This window comes from Homo sapiens, chromosome 22 (genome assembly GCF_000001405.40).
Source record: "Homo sapiens chromosome 22, GRCh38.p14 Primary Assembly".
NCBI classification, from domain to species: Eukaryota; Metazoa; Chordata; class Mammalia; order Primates; family Hominidae; genus Homo; species Homo sapiens.
The window spans coordinates 30,987,274-31,004,534 of NC_000022.11; the positions used below are offsets into that span (position 1 = coordinate 30,987,274).

Here is a 17,261-nt window from a genome sequence, read left to right on the forward strand (position 1 = left end):
TTCCCTGACCTAATGACTGGGTCTTATTTCGGCTACTTTAAGACATGGAGACCTACTGGTTTGGGATGGCAACCTGGGATAAAACTGTGAGGGCTTCTGGGATATTCTAATTGTTTGGAATTACACCTAAGCAGAAAAATACCTTTTATTATTGTTGGTGTAAAGGACCAGGACTCTGACTGAAACAAACCTACGGTTTTTTTTTTTTAATAACAAGTAGCAATTGAGGGTATGGGACCTTGATCTGATGCAGTCAGTGCAGTGGTAAGCCATTTATCCCTGTGGAGTGTGCCCAGGCTCCCAGGACTGTTCACCTGCTCTGATAGAGATGACAGAGGTCATGTTTCATTTTTTCTTTTTTAATTTTTTGAGATGGAGTCTCACTCTGTCATCCAGGCTGGAGTGTAGTGGTGCAATCTCGGCTCACTGCAACCTCCGTCCCCTGGGTTCAGGCAATTCTCCTACCTCAGCCTCCCGAGTAGCTAGGATTACAGGCGTGCACCACCACACCTGGCTAATTTTTGTATTTTTAGTGGAGACAGGATTTCACTATATTGGCCAGAATGGTCTCAAATTCATGGCCTCAAGTGATCTGCCCAAGAAAGGCCATATTTCTATGAATGAGAATTGGACCTTCTTAATCCAGGCCTCCTACCACATTTGCTAACTGGCCAACTGGCATGAGTGGCATCCAAGGACCTCAGCCCATGAGAGAAAGGGAATGTGACATGTTTTTCTGTCGACAGCATTTCTGAGGGTGGTGGGGTAAATAAGAAATTGCTTTTCCTTATAAAACAAATTGAATGTGATAGCATGTGCATGTCATTGACACCAGCAGTTGTGCTGTGGTTAAAAATGGCAAGGGAATGGCTGGCTGAGCTAAGTCTTCCAGGATATTGTTGCCTTAACAGCATTATTGCTAACAATTGCCATTTGCTCAGGCAACATGGTGAAACCCCATCTCTACAAAAATATAAAAATTAGCTGGGCATGTTGGTGGGTGCCTGTAATCCCAGCTACTCGGGAGGCTGAGGCAGGAGAATCACTTAAACCCGGGAGGTGGAGATTGTACTGAGCCAAGATCGTGCCATTGCACTGCAGCCTGGGTGATAGAGCGACACTCCATCTCAAAAAAAAAGAGCAGAATCACGTTTGCCTGATTCAACACTTGGCCTCTTTGGACAAGAGTCTGATTTCTCAAGTTCAGATGATGCCTGGAACTCTTTGGAGTTGGAGAGAAGATGGTTTGGCCAGAGAAGATCAGAGGCTGTTTTAGGTCTTCTAGGATTCAGGAGACATACATAGAACATGGCTTCCATGGAGGTGGCGAGACAGGAGAACCAACGAACTCAGGCTCCAGTCATAAATATTTACTGGTATGCTCATAACACAACAATGATGGTCCTCAAAATGACATTCAACTTGCGTCCTATCCTAAGAACAAACACCTGGAGTGCACTATGAACTGATGTTTTAAATCTCTGTTTGCCTTGTGACCAGCACAATTATACTGCAGTATATTCTGTGTGTATTTTACAATATTCATTTTCCAATGTAATCACTTAAGTTATACCACAAATTTTGGAAAGTGTATGACAAATCAAGAATGAAATCAGAGTTCAGAGCAACACGTAAACATGCACATGCACACATGAGACAGCCCTGGAAACCAGCCCCAAAGACAGGACCTAGAAGAGGTCTTGATGAAAGGCAGCCTGTAGTAGAACAGGCTTCGTTGCAGGTCCTACAGAAGAACGGGGTTGAGTTATGCAGCTTCTCCCATCCCTTTCTGGCCCAAAGCAAGCCCCAACCCCAACCACTTTGAGATGCTACATTATGTTTAACTATGGGAAAACTCACAGTGATCAAAAATGAATGTGGAAAAGTTTCAAGAAACCTCGAGTCTATAATAGCAAGTATCCTTGGCTTTGGCCGAAAAGCAAATTGATACCAAGTTGTTCTTAGCACTTCGCCAAATGGATTGCTGTTTCCTTGTGCCTGGAGCACCCAAAAAGGGAATGAGGGCTGAGGCTGCTGTGTTTATAGCTCTTCGCCAAGATACCTCTCCCAGTACCCTCTTTTAAGGCAAAGAACCCTGCTCCAATAGCATTGTGTCCTGACAGCCCTGTGGACCCCTTTGATGATAACCACATACTCTTGCTTCACCTCTGTGCTTGTCCTTAGGACCTAACAGCCTAAGAAGGAGAGGCAGAACCTGCTTATTCCCTTCTTTCCTTGCCTCTCTCATTTCCTGGTCTTTCTTCCACTTGGAAAATTTGAGTCAGATTTCCATGTGTCTTCCACCTAGGCCTTACAGGAAACCACTTCCTTTTATACATCTTTGGGTGCCCTATGTGGAGGGGATCCTCACACACTCTCCCTGGCTCTGACTCCTTCCCCTTCCCCTAAACCTATAGTGTCCATATTCTACCCCTGCCTTGTGAAATTTCATAAGGAGGAAGTTGCTCAACATCTATCAAGACTCATAGAAGATAAAGGGCTGTAAGAAATTTGGAAACTTCACATTCAGATTGCTGCTAAGAACTCAGATCAAGATGTGGTATACAGGACATATACATAAATTGTTGGGTTTAGTGCAAAATGAAAATGCGGGGTCCCTTGTTCAAAAATCATTAAGAATTTCAAGAAGGTGACAATAGAGCACAAAACAAATGTGAGGCCCTTCTGGGAGCAGGGCCCTTTTAAGTATGGAGGCTTGTGTGACTCCGCAGGTTGCATGCCCAGTAATCTAGCCCTGATGGTATATTTTGCTCAAATATCCTTTGGTTAAGCATCTAAAACACACCCATACCACCCCGTCTCCCAATTCTGGACAGCATTCTGTAACATTATTACAATACATGTTAATAACTGATTAGGGCTGGGAATGGAACTAAGATCTCTGCTTTTATCCACTGTATGAGGATCCCCTCCATATAAATGATCTTCTACGCAGGCTTCTACCAAAACCTCATTCTCTGAGCCATATATCTTCTTCAACCTGGAAAACAATGGACCCATGATGGTGGATGAATAAGAACAGAGGCTTTTTAGCCACTCAACTAGGAGATGTTGATAACAGAATAGTAGCTTTCTTTTATCAAACCCTTAGCATGTGCCAGACACAACTCTGCAATTTACACACGTCATCTCATTTGACATGTTTCAGGTATGAATTTTATTCCATAGCCCTAGCGCAAGAAGTTTCCCATACCTTTATAGGTTATTTCATGCCGCCCTGAGTCTACTTGCTCACACCGCCCTACCCCCAGCCATGACTCTGTGATGACAAAAATCTAAGGCACCTCCCATGGTGGTCACCACATGGAAAAAAAGCACCTCCTTCACCTGCTATTAGACATCATGCCCAGGACGCTTCCTTCTGGTGTCCAGAGACACTGGCTCTTCCTTCAGTCCAGTCCCCCAACTGACTTCAGATATACACCTGGACACTCACCTTCTCCAGCTGTAAGGACAAGCAAGAATTAGGTCTCCTCCATGTTTTGAACATCCTCAAATCCTGTCCCCTTCTTATTTCAAATCTTTGCATGGCCCTGAAACACCGAATACTAAGGACATCTCCAGATGGGGTATGAGACAGCAATATCATCAGCCTCCTTTTGCTGGGGCTGGGCTGGAGATAAGAGCTGCTTACACCAGAGAGTGTTTTATATTTTCCTTTAATAACTTGCCAGGCAACATCAGATGAAGAAACTTTGGCTGAAAGAAGCCATTAATCTAAGGTTCTATAGCTAGGAAGTGGCAGGGCCAGGATTTGAAGCTGCCTGATCTATTCCCCAGATGTAGGCCACCTGCCACCATCATTGAGATCACCTTCAGAGAGTTCATTCAGAACTTCGCAAGCCTCACACTGGCCTACAGAATGAAAACCTCTGAGGAGAACCTTAGCTTCTGGAATTTCTATCTGGAATTCCAGCCAACCTCACAATATTAAGTGGCAGACAGGCTTAAAGGTGTTCTTACCCCCACCACTCTCCAATGATCCATGCTTCCTGGTGTTCACATCTATCTTAGTCATCTCAGGCTGCCATAACAAAATACCACAGACTGAGTGGTTTAAACAACAGAAATTAATTTCTCACACTTCTGGAGGCTGGAAATCTGAGATTAGGGTGATCAGCTGCCTTGGTTTCTGAGGGCTCTCTTTCTGGCTTATATATGGTTGCCTTCTCAATATGTCCTCATATGGCTTTACTTGGTGCATGCACATAGAGAAAGAGCTCTTCTTACAAGGTCACTAATCCTATCAGATCAGGGCCTCACCCTTGTGACCTCATTTAATATTACATCCTTAGAGGCTCATCTTCAAATATAGTCACACTGTGGGGGTGAGGGTTAGGGCTTCAATGTGAATTTTACTGAAATATTCAGTCCATAACAGTACCTTTGTGTCATCCCTTCCCTTTCAATTGACTTCCCCTTAAGGTGGGTTTTATGATTTCCTTTTAGAAAATGTTGTCTTGGCTGGGCATGGTGGCTCACGCCTGTAATCCCAGCACTTTGGGAGGCCAAGGCAGATGGATCACTTGAGGTCAGGAGTTCGAGACCAGCCTGGCCAACATGGTGAAACACTGTGTCTACTAAAATACAAAAAAAAAAAAAAATCAGCTGGGCATGGTGGTGTGTGCCAGTAGTCCCAGTTACTCAGGAGGCTGAGCCAGGAGAATTACTTGAACCCAGGAGGTGGAGGTTACAGTGATCCCAAGATCATGCCACTGCACTCCAGCCTGGCCTGGGTGGCAGAACAAGACCCTGCTTAAAAAAAAAAAAAAAAAAAAAAATAGTGTCTTGCTCTAGAAGCTCTCCTTGCTGGTTTGTTAAAGAAAGTGGACATGTTGGGAAATCCCAAATGGCAAGAAACTGTGGGTATAGATCTGAGGGTGGCTTCCAAGCAAAGGACAGCAAGAAGCTGGGGCCCTCTGTCCCACAGCTCCAAGGAACTGAATTCTGCCAACAACTTGAGTGTGCTTGGAAGTGGATTCTTCCCCATTCAAACATCCAGATGAGAACACAGCCCACCCAACATCTTGACTGTAGCCTTGTGGGTCCCTGAGCAGAGGACTCGGCTAAGCCATGCCTGGACTCCCAGCCCACAGAAACTGTGAGATAATGTGTGTTGTTTTAAGCCACTAAGTTTGTGGTAATTTGTTGTATAGCAAGGGAAAACCAATAAATTAGAAAACCCCACAGTCTTCACCCACAAGGCTGCATGGATGATTCCTCTCTTTTTTACTTCTACCCAGAAGCAACTTGTGTACTTACTGAGCATGACAAAGGGCATGTGCCAAAAGGCCTGCTTTTAAACTTTTTTAATTTCTTGATTATCAAAAGTAATAGATGTTCATTGTAGAAAATCTGGAAGCACACAAAAAGAAAATAAAAATTACCCAGAATAATTTCCTCCTGCCAACTCAGATAACCACAGATAACACATTGGCAAGTAGCCTTCACCACCTTGGTTCTATACAGGGAGGCTGGATAAAGTTACAAACAGAGAATGTTCTGTACGGACCGTTTTGTGACTTGCTCTTTCCAGTGTCAGCCCACATTTTCTGAAGAATTTGAAGCATCAGAGGGGTGAATTTGTTTCCAGCATTTTGGGCCATTGCCAGATTCCATTTTTAATGACCTCAGGTTTTTCCCAGAGTGGGCTTTGGCAAAGGAGACTCATTAAAAGGAAACTGAGGCCAGAGAGGGGAGGACATGCCAAAGGCCAGATAGCCTGTTGGCACCCAGAGAGTTCCCTCCTTCCAAATTCCTCATAACATCGTAGCTTAGCTGCTGTATTCCCAAAACCCACACAGTGCCCCAGAGCTTTACCCTTGGAATTATTATCAGAGATAAGTTCCTTAAAGCCACAGCCTCATCTCCAATCAAGGGAGTTCCTTGGAGGGACTTGGAATAGGAAGAAGCTAGAACCCTCTGAGATCTGGCCATCCACCACCCATGAGGCCCAATTCTTCCCTGGTCCCCTGAGCAACTGAAAATCAGCTCCTAGAGTATCATTTCAGAACTTTGAGCATTTGGGCTTCTTTTATTTTATTTTATTTTGTTTTATTTATTTATTTTTTGAGACAGGATCTCACTCTGTCGCTCAGGCTGGAGTGCAGTGGCGTGATCTCAGCTCATTGCAACCTCCACCTCCCAGGTTTCAGTGATCCTCCAACTTCAGCAACCCTAGTAACTGCCACCACACCCAGCTGATTTTTTTTATCCTTTGTAGAGACAGGGTTTTGCCATGTTGCTCAGGCTGGTCTCGAACTCATGGACTCAAGGGATCCACCAGCTTTGGCCTCCCAAAGTGCTGGAATTACAGACATGACCCACTGCGCCCAGCCTTTTCCTTTTAAATGTGAGTGGGAAGATAGTAAGGAAAGAGAAGGAAGGAAGAAGGAAGGCAGGAGTCATTTTATTCAATAAACTTTCATCAAGCCTCTGGAAGACCAGTCCTCTGTGCTAAGTACTGGAGCTATTGCGACGAGGTAGCATGAGGTCACTTTATTTGCTTATTTATTTATTTTTTGAGACAGGGTCTCACTCTGTTATCCAGGCTGGAGTGCAATGGCACGATCTTTGCTCACTGCAACCTCTGCCTTCTAGGTTCAAGCGATTCTCCTGCCTCAGCCTCCCGAGTAGCTGGGATTACAGGCATCTACCACCATGCCCAGCTAATTTTTGTAATTTTAGTGGAGACGGAGTTTCACTTTGTTGGCCAGGCTGATCTCAAACTCCTGACCTCAAGTGATCCGCCCACCTCAGGCTCCCAAAGTGCTGGGATTGTGGCCGAGGTCACTTTCAATACTTAGTTTAACATTTGTAAACTATGATTGTTCCAGTTGTTTGTTGCTGTATCACAAACCACCCCAAAAAGCTTAGTATCATAAAACAACAAGCATTTTATATACTTATGATTCTGTGGGTCAGGAATTGGGCAGGACACAGTATGGATGGTTCATCTCTGTTCTTAGATATCTAAGACATCAGCTGCAGTGCAGTGCAGTGCAGTGCAGTGATGATGGCTGAAGATGGCTGGGACAGCTCAACTGGGGCCATGAGCTTGGGGCCTCAGTTCTTCTCCGTGATGCGTCTTCTGGGGTGGTGTATAAGTTAGGATTCTCCAGAGGGACAGATGTATATAAAAGGGGATAGGATAGGATAGATGTATATAAAAGGGGAGTTTATTAAGGAGTATTGACTCACACAATCACAAGGTGAAGTCCCATAATAGGCCATCTGCAAGCTGAGAAGCAAGGAAGCCAGTCGGAGTCCCAAAACCTCAAAAGTAGAGAAGCCGACAGTGCAGCCCCCAATCTGCATCTGAAGACCTGAGAGCCCCTGGCAAACCACTGGTGTAAGTCCAAGAGTCCAAAAGCTGAAGAACTTGGAGTTCAAGGGCAGGAAGCCTCCAGCACCAGAGAGATGAAGGCTGGAAGACTCAGCAAGTCAAGTCCTTCCACTTCTTCTGCCTGCTTTATTCTAGCTGCACTGGCAGCTGCTGGGTGCCCACCCAGATTGAGGGTGGGTCTGCCTCTCCCAGTCCACTGATTCAAATGTTAACATCCTTTGGCCACACTCTCAGACACATCCAGGAACAATACGTTGCATCCTTCAATCTAATCAAGTTGACACTCAATATTAACCCATCACAGGCAGGAAATGTTCAAGATGGCTCCTTCACTTCCATGTGTGGTATCTGGGCTGGGAAGTTGGGTAGCTGTGGGCAAGGTGATGCTGCCTTTTCACATGGCTAGCTTGGACTTCATCTTAGCATGGCAATCTCAGGTAGTTAGACTTCTACATGGCAGCTGGCTTCTCCCAAAGCAAACATTCCACAAAAGAGGAAGTGGAAATTGTCACCCCTCTTAAAGGCAACCCAGAGGTAAGCCACAGTACCTTTTTAGGACCTGCTCTTCGAAGTCACACACCATTACTTCTGCTTGATTCTGTTCACTAGAAGTAGGCCACTAAGTCTACCCATACTTGAGGGAAGGAGAATTAAGCTCCAGCTGTTGAAGAGTATCAAAGAACTTGTGGACATAGATTTTTCAAAAGTACCACCACAACCACACAGTCCACTTCACATTGAGTAGTGGACCCCCCTTTTCTTTCTCTCTTCAATCCTCTGCTCTCTCAGAACCAGTACAAATTCCTCCTCTTGTCTCATAATGAGCAGTGTAACCATTTCCTTTTCCTCCAGGTCTCTCTGAAACACTCCTGCCCTTATCTTCTACCCACATGAGCTTATCAGTGTATTTTTTTCATCCCATAGATAATCTTTTCCCTTCGACGAATTTTGGTGCCAGTTATTAACATAATGAAATTTCTATTTGTTGTATGAACTTTTGTATAGAGAAAATTATGTTGAAAGAAAATTCCATATCCTAATCAAGCAAATGTGGAGGCAAAAGGAGACATTTGAAGACAAGCAGGGATTCTGAAACTTTCCCTCCCATGCACTCTCTGAAAAAAAAAAATTACTTGAGGATGTGCTCCAACACATTAATAAAGGAATCAAGGAAAAAGATTTGGGAAGCAAGAAACAGTGGAACTAAAGTAGGAGAGAGTTGGGAAAAAATCCTAACTTGATAGCTATGCAGCAGACCTAAAATACAATCTGTCAAAACTAGAACTGGAAGTAAGAGGTCTCAGGGATGAAAACTTCAAGAAGGCCAGGTGTGGTGGCTCACACCTGTAATCCCAGCACTTTGGGAGGCCAAGGCAGGCGGATAACGAGGTCACGAGTTCGAGACCAGTCTGACCAACATGGTGAAAGCCCGTCTCTGCTAAAAATACAAAAATTAGCCGAGCGTGGTGGCACGCACCTGTAATCCCAGCTACTCAGGAGGCTGAGGCAGGAGAATCGCTTGAACCCAGGAGGCGGAGGTTGCAATGAGCCGAAATCGTGCCACTGCACTCCAGCCTGGGTGACAGAGCGAGACTCTGTCTCAAACAAAAAAAAAAAAACTTCAAGAAGGAAATAGATGCTTCATTTCCTGTGGGGGAGAACAAAACAAACAACAAAAACAAAACAAAAAAAAACACAGAAAAGAAAATAGATGCCATTGCACAAATTGAATAAGTAAAAATCTAGAAGTTCTTAAAGATGATATCCAGACAAAGGCTCTTTCACTACCAGAAAAGGAGAGTGCATTTAGAAGCTTTGCGGGGACAAAAGCTATGCTAGAACAATCATGGTCAAGCTAAAATGCATATGGTTTGGGAAAACTGGTGAGTAAGAAATAAAGACCACTAAATAGCCATCTAAAACAAAGCTGAATTTATTGCCTTCTTAGCAAGTAAAAGCCATGTCACTCAAACACAAGCTCGACAGCAAAAATTAAATAGGAGTGAAAAAAGGAAGTGCACTAAATAAGGCAAGATTCTGAATTTTGGCCTGCAAGTGACTTACAAAGTAGATTGTCAAGTCATCTTCAAGTTCTGTGTCACTGACACTAGGAACTTGATTTTAAGCAAGTCCAAGATAGATTATAAAAGATTCCACGAGACCTTAGGTCATTCATCAGAGGTGCTTAATGTGCATGTTCAAAACTTAGCAAGTTTTTTTTTGTTGTTGTTATTTTAAATAAGTATGAAATAGTGCCTAGCCCATAGTAGACAAAAAAAAAAAATGAGGAAGGAGAAAGATTAATATTCTGAATTCATTATTTTGTTGGATTTATAATAGATAGTAAATAGATGTGTTTTCCGTGGGTATCTTTTTTTTCCCCCCTACAAGCAATTTGTGATTTTTATTGGATATTTTTCTTGGAGATCAGCCTTTTTTTTATTACCTTCTCCTGAAGAAAGTGTACTTTTTTTGTACTCCTCCTTGCAGAATAGGGCAACTCCATAGACAGTGTGCCCAGAGTAGCCTAGTTCAGGTTTTGCATTTTGTTCCTGTCAATAAGTTTTTAAAGTGTGTGGTGTGGGTGTGTGTGTGTGTGTATGTGGTCTATTTGGCCATCATTAGTGTCTTCTGATTTTAATTTGGCAGGTGACAAAATGTTATTGCATGGAAATTTAAAGACATGCTTACTGAGAAAAACAAAGTTTAATAAAGTTTAATAAAGTCATGCTTATTGAGAAAAACAAAGTTTAACCAAAAATATAATGTTCTCATGCTCTTACTATTTCACAATCTCTTTTTAAATTTAGAAGAATATATAGAGAAGGGGTGCTTTGGTTTCACTTCAGTTCTTTTTCTTCTATTAAATTCTAGTAAAATAAATATTTTTAAAAACTGATGGCTGGGCCCAGTGGCTCACGCCTGTAATCCCAGCACTTTGGGAGGCCAAGGCAGGCAGATCGCCTGAGGTCAGGAGTTCAACACCAACCCGGCCAACATGGCGAAACCGTATCTCTACTAAAAATACAAAAATTAGCTAGGCGTGGTGGCATGCACCTGTAGTCCCAGCTACTCGGGAGGCTAAGGCAGAAGAATCGCTTAAACCCAGGAGGCGGAGGTTGCAGTGAGCTGAGATGGCACCACTGCACTCCAGCCTGGGCAACAGAGCCAGACTCCATCTCAAAAAAAAAAAAAAAGAAAGAAAGAAAAACTGAAACTCAGTATCTCATAGTGATGGAATTAAGGATGATTTTTAAATTTTCATCTATATGCATTATGTCTTTCTGTAATTTAAAATTTTAATAACAAATAATGCCTTACAGAATGTCAGTTAACATCGTAGTTAGGTTCTTGGAAACCACAACTTTAAGTGAAATAACTAATGTACAGTGGGTTCTCCAACAACATTTACTTCAACGTCCTTTCCTTCTAACCTCGATGAGGAAAAAACAAAAAAATAAATATTTCATGATACATTGTTTTCCTTAAATTAGCAGTTGATACCTACCAGGTTCGTTCTGCCCATGTGCAGTAAACCAGTCACTGTGACCAGATTTTGCAAAACAGAAAAGGTTTATTCACAGGGCAGCCCAGCAAGAAGGTGGGAGAACAGCTCTCAAGTCGGCCTCCCTGAAAATAAGGTTTAGGAATGTTTATGGATTAGAGAAGCGGAGAGGTCTAAGGCGTAGGAAGAGATGATTGACATTGAGGAAAAATGAATTGGTGATCTGTGCAAATGTAGTTGGGGTCATGGCTTTTTATAGGATGCATGTTCAGAAAATGGCTGCGTTAGCATCATCAGAGGATAGAGTTTTTCTCCCTGTAATTCCAGAAGGCTACCTCAGGGGCATTTGCACATGCCCAGTTGAAGGGTTAGTGGTCTCAACCAGTTTGAACTGGACAGGAGCTGTCCCCAAGCTCCTGAAAAGCAACCTAAGCAATCATTAATTACCATGGCAACATATACTTCAGAAATGTTATCTGTAAGGAAGTCAGTGAAGGTCGTTACTGTGTTAAGCAGTGTGACTTTTAGCTACCTGGGTAAAATAATAATAATAATAGACAGCCGGGCACAGTGGCTCACGCCTATAGTCCCAGCACTTCCAGAGGCTGAGGTGCTGAGTGGATCCCTTGAATCCAGGAGTTCGAGACCACCCTGGGCAACATGGCGAAACCCATCTCTACTAAAAATACAAAAAATTAGCCAGGCATGTTGGTGCATGCCTATAATCCCAACTACTTGGGGGCTGAGGCAGGAGGATCACTTGAGCCCAGTAGGTTGAGGCTGCAGTGAGCCCTGATTGGGCCACCACACTCCAGCCTGGGCGACAGAGCGAGACCCTGTCTAAAATGACCACCACCACAAAAAAAGCAAAAAACAAGCGAGTGACCAAAAGCAGCAAGCAGGGCAGGTTAAGTTTGGCAGACCTAATCAGATTAGCCCCTTGGTTTCTTGAACCTATCAATGACTTTTTTTCAGACGGCATCTCAGTCTTTCGCTCAGGCTAGAGTACAGTGACACCATCATAGTTCTTTGCAGCCTCCAACTCCTGGGCTCAAGGGCTTAAGAGATCCTTCTGCCTCAGCCTCCTGAGTAGTTGGGACTACAGGCCTGAGCCACCGGCCTGGCTTGTATTTTTAAACCATAAAGTTATTTTCATAAAAGAAAGCCAAATATACGTAAAAGGATATTGCTGACATCATTTATAATAACAAAAAAAGTCAAACAACTGAAATGTCTATCAATAAGAGAATGGAATAGTTATATTATGGCACCCCCATAAAATACTGTGTTGCTGTTGAAAAGAGTAATGTAGATTTATGTGAAGGAACATGGAAAAATACTTTAAAAAGCAAGTTGCAGAAAAATACATTCTCATTTTTATGGGGGAAAATAGTTCAGTTTAAATTACCCAACTTCAATTCAAAGGGCTGGGAATTAAAAAAAAGAGAGAGAGAGAGAGAGACACAGACATAGACAAAGAGATAGAGATATACATATGTGTTTATGTATAGGTATATGTACGTATGAGTATATATATTTCAACCTGACCCCTAAATGCAAACTGATACTAAACAAAAAAAAATGTATTTCCTGATGTAGGAAAATTAGTTGGACTTACTAAGGAAGGTACAATATGTGTTAAGACTGCACATACTGAATTTTATGAAACATGAACTATTTGAGGCAATTTTTAATAATAATAAATTTTACATTATGACCTGACAACTTTAGAAGCTACCACCTCATGACCACATAAGACATTATTACTTTACTCCTTATATGGGGACCAGAAATTATAGAAAGATGGAAACCTATCACTCAACAGATGCGGGACAGACTGCTACTTTGTATTTTGTTTGTTTGTTTGTTTTTTGGGACAGAGTCTCACTCTGTTCCCCAGGCTGAAGTGCAGTGGCTGGCTATCTTGGCTCACTGTAGCCTCTACCTCCCAGGTTCAAGCGATTCTCCTTCCTCAGCCTCCCAAGTAGCTGGGATTACAGGCGCCCATCACCACACCCAGCTAATGTTATGTATCTTTAGTAGAGATGGGGTTTCCGCATGTTGGCCAGGCTGGTCTCGAACTCCTGACCTGAGGTGATCCACCTGCCTTGGCTTCCCAAAGTGCTGGGATTACAGGCATGAGCCAGCATGCCTGGCCCAGACTGTTACTGTGTGGGTTTTTTTGTTGTTGTTTATTTGTTTTTTTTGAGATGGAGTTTCACTCTTGTTGCCCAGGCTGGAGTGCAATGGCGTGATCTCAGCTCACCACAGCCTCTGCCTCCCGGGTTCAAGCGATTCTGCTTCAGCCTTCCAAGTAGCTGGGATTACAGGCATGTGCCACCACACCAAGCTAATTTTGTATTTTTAGTAGAGACGGGGTTTCCCCATGTTGATCAGGTTCGAACTCCCGACCTCAAGTGATCTGTTCGCCTCGGCCTCCCAAAGTGCTGGGATTACAGGTGTGAGCCACCACGCCTGGCTGTTACTTTGACTATGTACTCACATACAGTTTTATATTTGAATTTGTACAATTTATTACATACTTTATAACTTTTTAATTATAAAAATGTCTGTATTTATATATCTTTCTAAGTACATATATATTCGTAAAACACTATTTTTAATGGTTCCATATAGTTAGACACTTAAGTTTGTATAAATTTTTTTTTTTTTTTTTTTTTTGAGATGGAGTCTCGCTCTGTTATCCAGGCTGGAGTGTAGTGGTGCGATTCGGCTCACTGAAAGCTCCGCCTCCCGGGTTCACGCCATTCTCCTGCCTCAGCCTCCCGAGTAGCTGGGACTACAGGCGCCCGCCACCACGCCCAGCTAATTTTTTGTATTTTTAGTAGAGACGAGGTTTCACCATTGCCAGGATGGTCTCGATCTCTGACCTCGTGATCTGCAGACCGTGGCCTCCCAAAGTGCTGGGATTGCAGGCGTGAGCCACCACGCATGGCCAAGTTTTTATAATTTTTTATAATTAGGAACATTCTTACACATAAACTCTTGTTCATGTTGCCATTTATTCTCATTCAAATTCATCCTAAATTGGAAAAGAAAGGATATGCATTAACAATATACTTGTGGCTGGGTGCAGCAGCCTATAATCCAAAAATTAGCTGGGCATGGTGGTGCATGCCTGTATTTCCAGGTACTTGGGAGGCTAAAGTGGGAGGATCACCTGAGCCCCGGAGGCCAAGGCTGCTGTGAGTTGTGATTGTACCACTGCACTTCAACCTGGGCAACAGAGTGAGATTGTGTCTCAAAAAACGAAAACAAAAAAAAACTTTGTGAAGATAAAGCAAAATAGTGTTTGAAAAGAACCTCACTTCCGTAGCATTTCTCTGTCACTGGCCTAGATCCCAGGTCTGAAGAACACTGAAGGTCAAACAAGTATCTGGGCTCCATTCCAGTTGCCCCAGCATCAGCTAGCTCCTGAATGGGGCATGAACCCTGATCCTGACCTAAAGAAACTCACAGTCCAGAGGAGAAAACAAACATGAATTACTGCAAAACAGTATAACTCATGTTACAATGGAAACACACAATAGAAGACCTCTCGAATGTTAATGTACACATCCAATACCTGGGGATCTTTTAAAATGCAGATTCAGGCCGGGCGCAGTGGCTCACACCTGTAATCCCAGCACTTTGGGAGGCCAAGGCAGTCAGATCACCTGAGGTCAGGAGTTCAAGACCAGCCTGACCAACATAGTAAAACCCCGTCTCTACTAAAAATACAAAAAAATTAGCCGGGCATGGTGACGGGCACCTGTAGTCCCAGCTACTCAGGAGGCTGAGGCAGGAGAATGGCATGAACCCAGGAGGCGGAGCTTGCAGTGAGCTGAGATCACGCCACTGCACTCCAGCTTGGGCGACAGAGCAAGACTCCGTCTCAAAAAAAAAAAAAATACAAAAATTAGCCGGCTGTGGTGACGGATGCCTGTAATCCCAGCTACTTGGGAGGCTGAAGCGGGAGAATTGCTTGAACCCAGGAGGCAGAAGTTGCAGTTAGCTACGATGGTGCCATTGCACTCCGGACTGAGCAATAAGCGCAAAACTCTATCTCAAAACATAAAATAAAATAAAATGCAGATTCAGAAGGTCTGGTGTGGAACCTGAGATTCTGCATTTCTACCAGTTCCCAGGTGATGCCAAAGCCACTTATTTGCAGACCACACTTTGAGTAGCAACAGTATAGATAGAAGTAAGCAAAGTTTTACAGATACCCAAGCAGAGTTTCAAGAGATGAATAAGAATTTCCCAGACAGCTAATGAAGGGAAGGGTATACTCTAGAAGAGGGACTAGCATAACACAGAGATGCAGAGGCATGAAATGGCCTGGTTTGTCTGAAGCCCCAAGCTCAAAGGGCGGGGAGAAGATGAGAAAGATTTCCTCCGAGGAGCACTGATGGTGATGGATCACAGGATGTGGAGGCATCAGGGTGAATCCACAGGCTGGATAACTAACTGGAGGTAGGGGGAAGTGGAGGAGGACGTGGGTGATGGAGGAGGCATGCCCTCACCAAACCAATGAATACAGAACCAGGTCCACAGCGGTGCAGTGGCTCATGCCTATAATCCAGAACTTTGGGAGGCCAAGACGATAGAATTGCTTGAGCCTGGACAATTTGGCAAAACCCTGTCTCTACCAAAAATGCAAAAGTTAGGTGGGAGTGGTGGTGTGTGCCTGCACTCCCAGCTGCTCGGGAGTCTGAGGTGGGAGGATCACCAAGCCCAGGAGGTTGAAGTTGCAGTGAGCCATGATTGTGCCATGGCACTCCAGCCTTGGTGACAGAGTGAGACCCTGTCTCAATAATAAAAAGCAGCAGCAGAAGCAAGTGCAGGTCTGAGGGGAGAGGTAATGAGTTCAGGTTGGGATTCACCAAGTTGGACGTGGGGGAAGAATGAACAGGCAGGGGGACTTTAGGTGAGATGTGAGTGGGGCACTTCAAGGGAAAGGCTGCAGAAGAGACAGTCAAGGTGTCAGTGTGCTGAGCAGTCCAAGCCATGGGCTGGGAGAGGAAAAGAAGGATCCTTCAAGCCTGTGAACCTCAGAACCACCACTATACAACTGCAAGCCTGTGAATCATGTTTCTCATATGACCCCTGAGAATATGAATCAGCAAGAGTGAAAACCAGGATCCAGGGTCCCCCAGAATTATCAACATCTCACACAAAAACCTGCATATGAGTCAGACCTGGTGGCTCACACCTGTAATCCCAGCACTTTGGGAGGCTGAGGCAGGCAGATCACTTGAGGCCAGGAATTTGAGACCAGCCTGGCCAACACAGTGAGACCCTGTCTCTACTAAAAATACAAAAAATTAGCTGGGCATGGCGGCATACGCCTGTAATCCCAGCTACTCAGGAGGCTGAGGCAGGAGAATCTCTTGGACACAGGAGGTGAAGGTTGCACTGAGCCGAGATCGAGCCACTGCACTCCAGCCTGAGTGCAACAACAGAGCGATACTCAAAAAAAAACAAAACAGGCCGGGCGCAGTGGCTCACACCTGTAATCCCAGCACTTTGAGAGGCCAAGGCGGGTGGATCACAAGGTCAGGAGATCGAGACCATCCTGGCTAACACAGTGAAACCCCGTCTCTACTAAAAATACAAAACAATTAGCCGGGCATAGTGGCGGGCGCCTGTAGTCCCAGCTACTCGGGAGGCTGAGGCAGGAGAATGACGTGAACCCAGGAGGTAGAGCTTGTAGTGAGCTGAGATCACGCCACGGCACTCCATCCTGCCTGGGCAACAGAGCGAGACTCTGTCTCAAAAAAAAACAAAAAACAAAAAACAAAACCCTGCATATAAATATTAATAGTAGCTTTGTTTGTAATTGCTAAAACTGGAAGCAACAAACATGTCCTTGAATAGATAAATGGATAAACAAACTGGTATATCTATACAATGAAATAGTATTCAGCAATATAAAAAAATTAGTAGGCTGGGTGCAGTGGATAACACCTGTCATCCCAGCACTTTGGGAGGCTGAGGCAGGGGATCTCTTGAAGTCAGGAATTTGAAACCAGTCTGGCCAACATGCCGAAACTCTGTCTCTGCAAAAAATTAGCTGGGCGTGGTAGTGTACGCCTGGGAGGGTGAAGCAGGAGAATCACTTGAACCCAGGATGCAGAGGTTGCAGTGAGCCAAGATCGCTCCACTATACTACAGCCTGGGTAAGAGAGTGAGACTCTGTCTCAAAAAAAAAAAAAAAAAAAAAAGAGAAAGAAAAGAAAAGAAGGTAGTGGCCAGGTGTGGTGGCTCACACCTGTACTATGAGTTGGACATGGTGGCTCATGCCTGTAATCCCAGCACTTTGGGAGGCCAAGGTGGGCAGATCACTTGAGGCCAGGAGAACTTTGGGAGGCCAAGGCAGGTGAATCA

At 44.1% G+C, this 17,261-nt stretch overlaps 1 annotated feature.

Annotated features, from left to right (window-relative positions):
- Window positions 15,837–16,037: a silencer, noted in NCBI's record as "peak4481 fragment used in MPRA reporter construct". NCBI's record gives its function as "represses an SCP1 promoter by STARR-seq MPRAs in K562 erythroleukemia cells {active_cell/tissue: K562}" and the evidence as "EXISTENCE:reporter gene assay evidence [ECO:0000049][PMID:32103011]".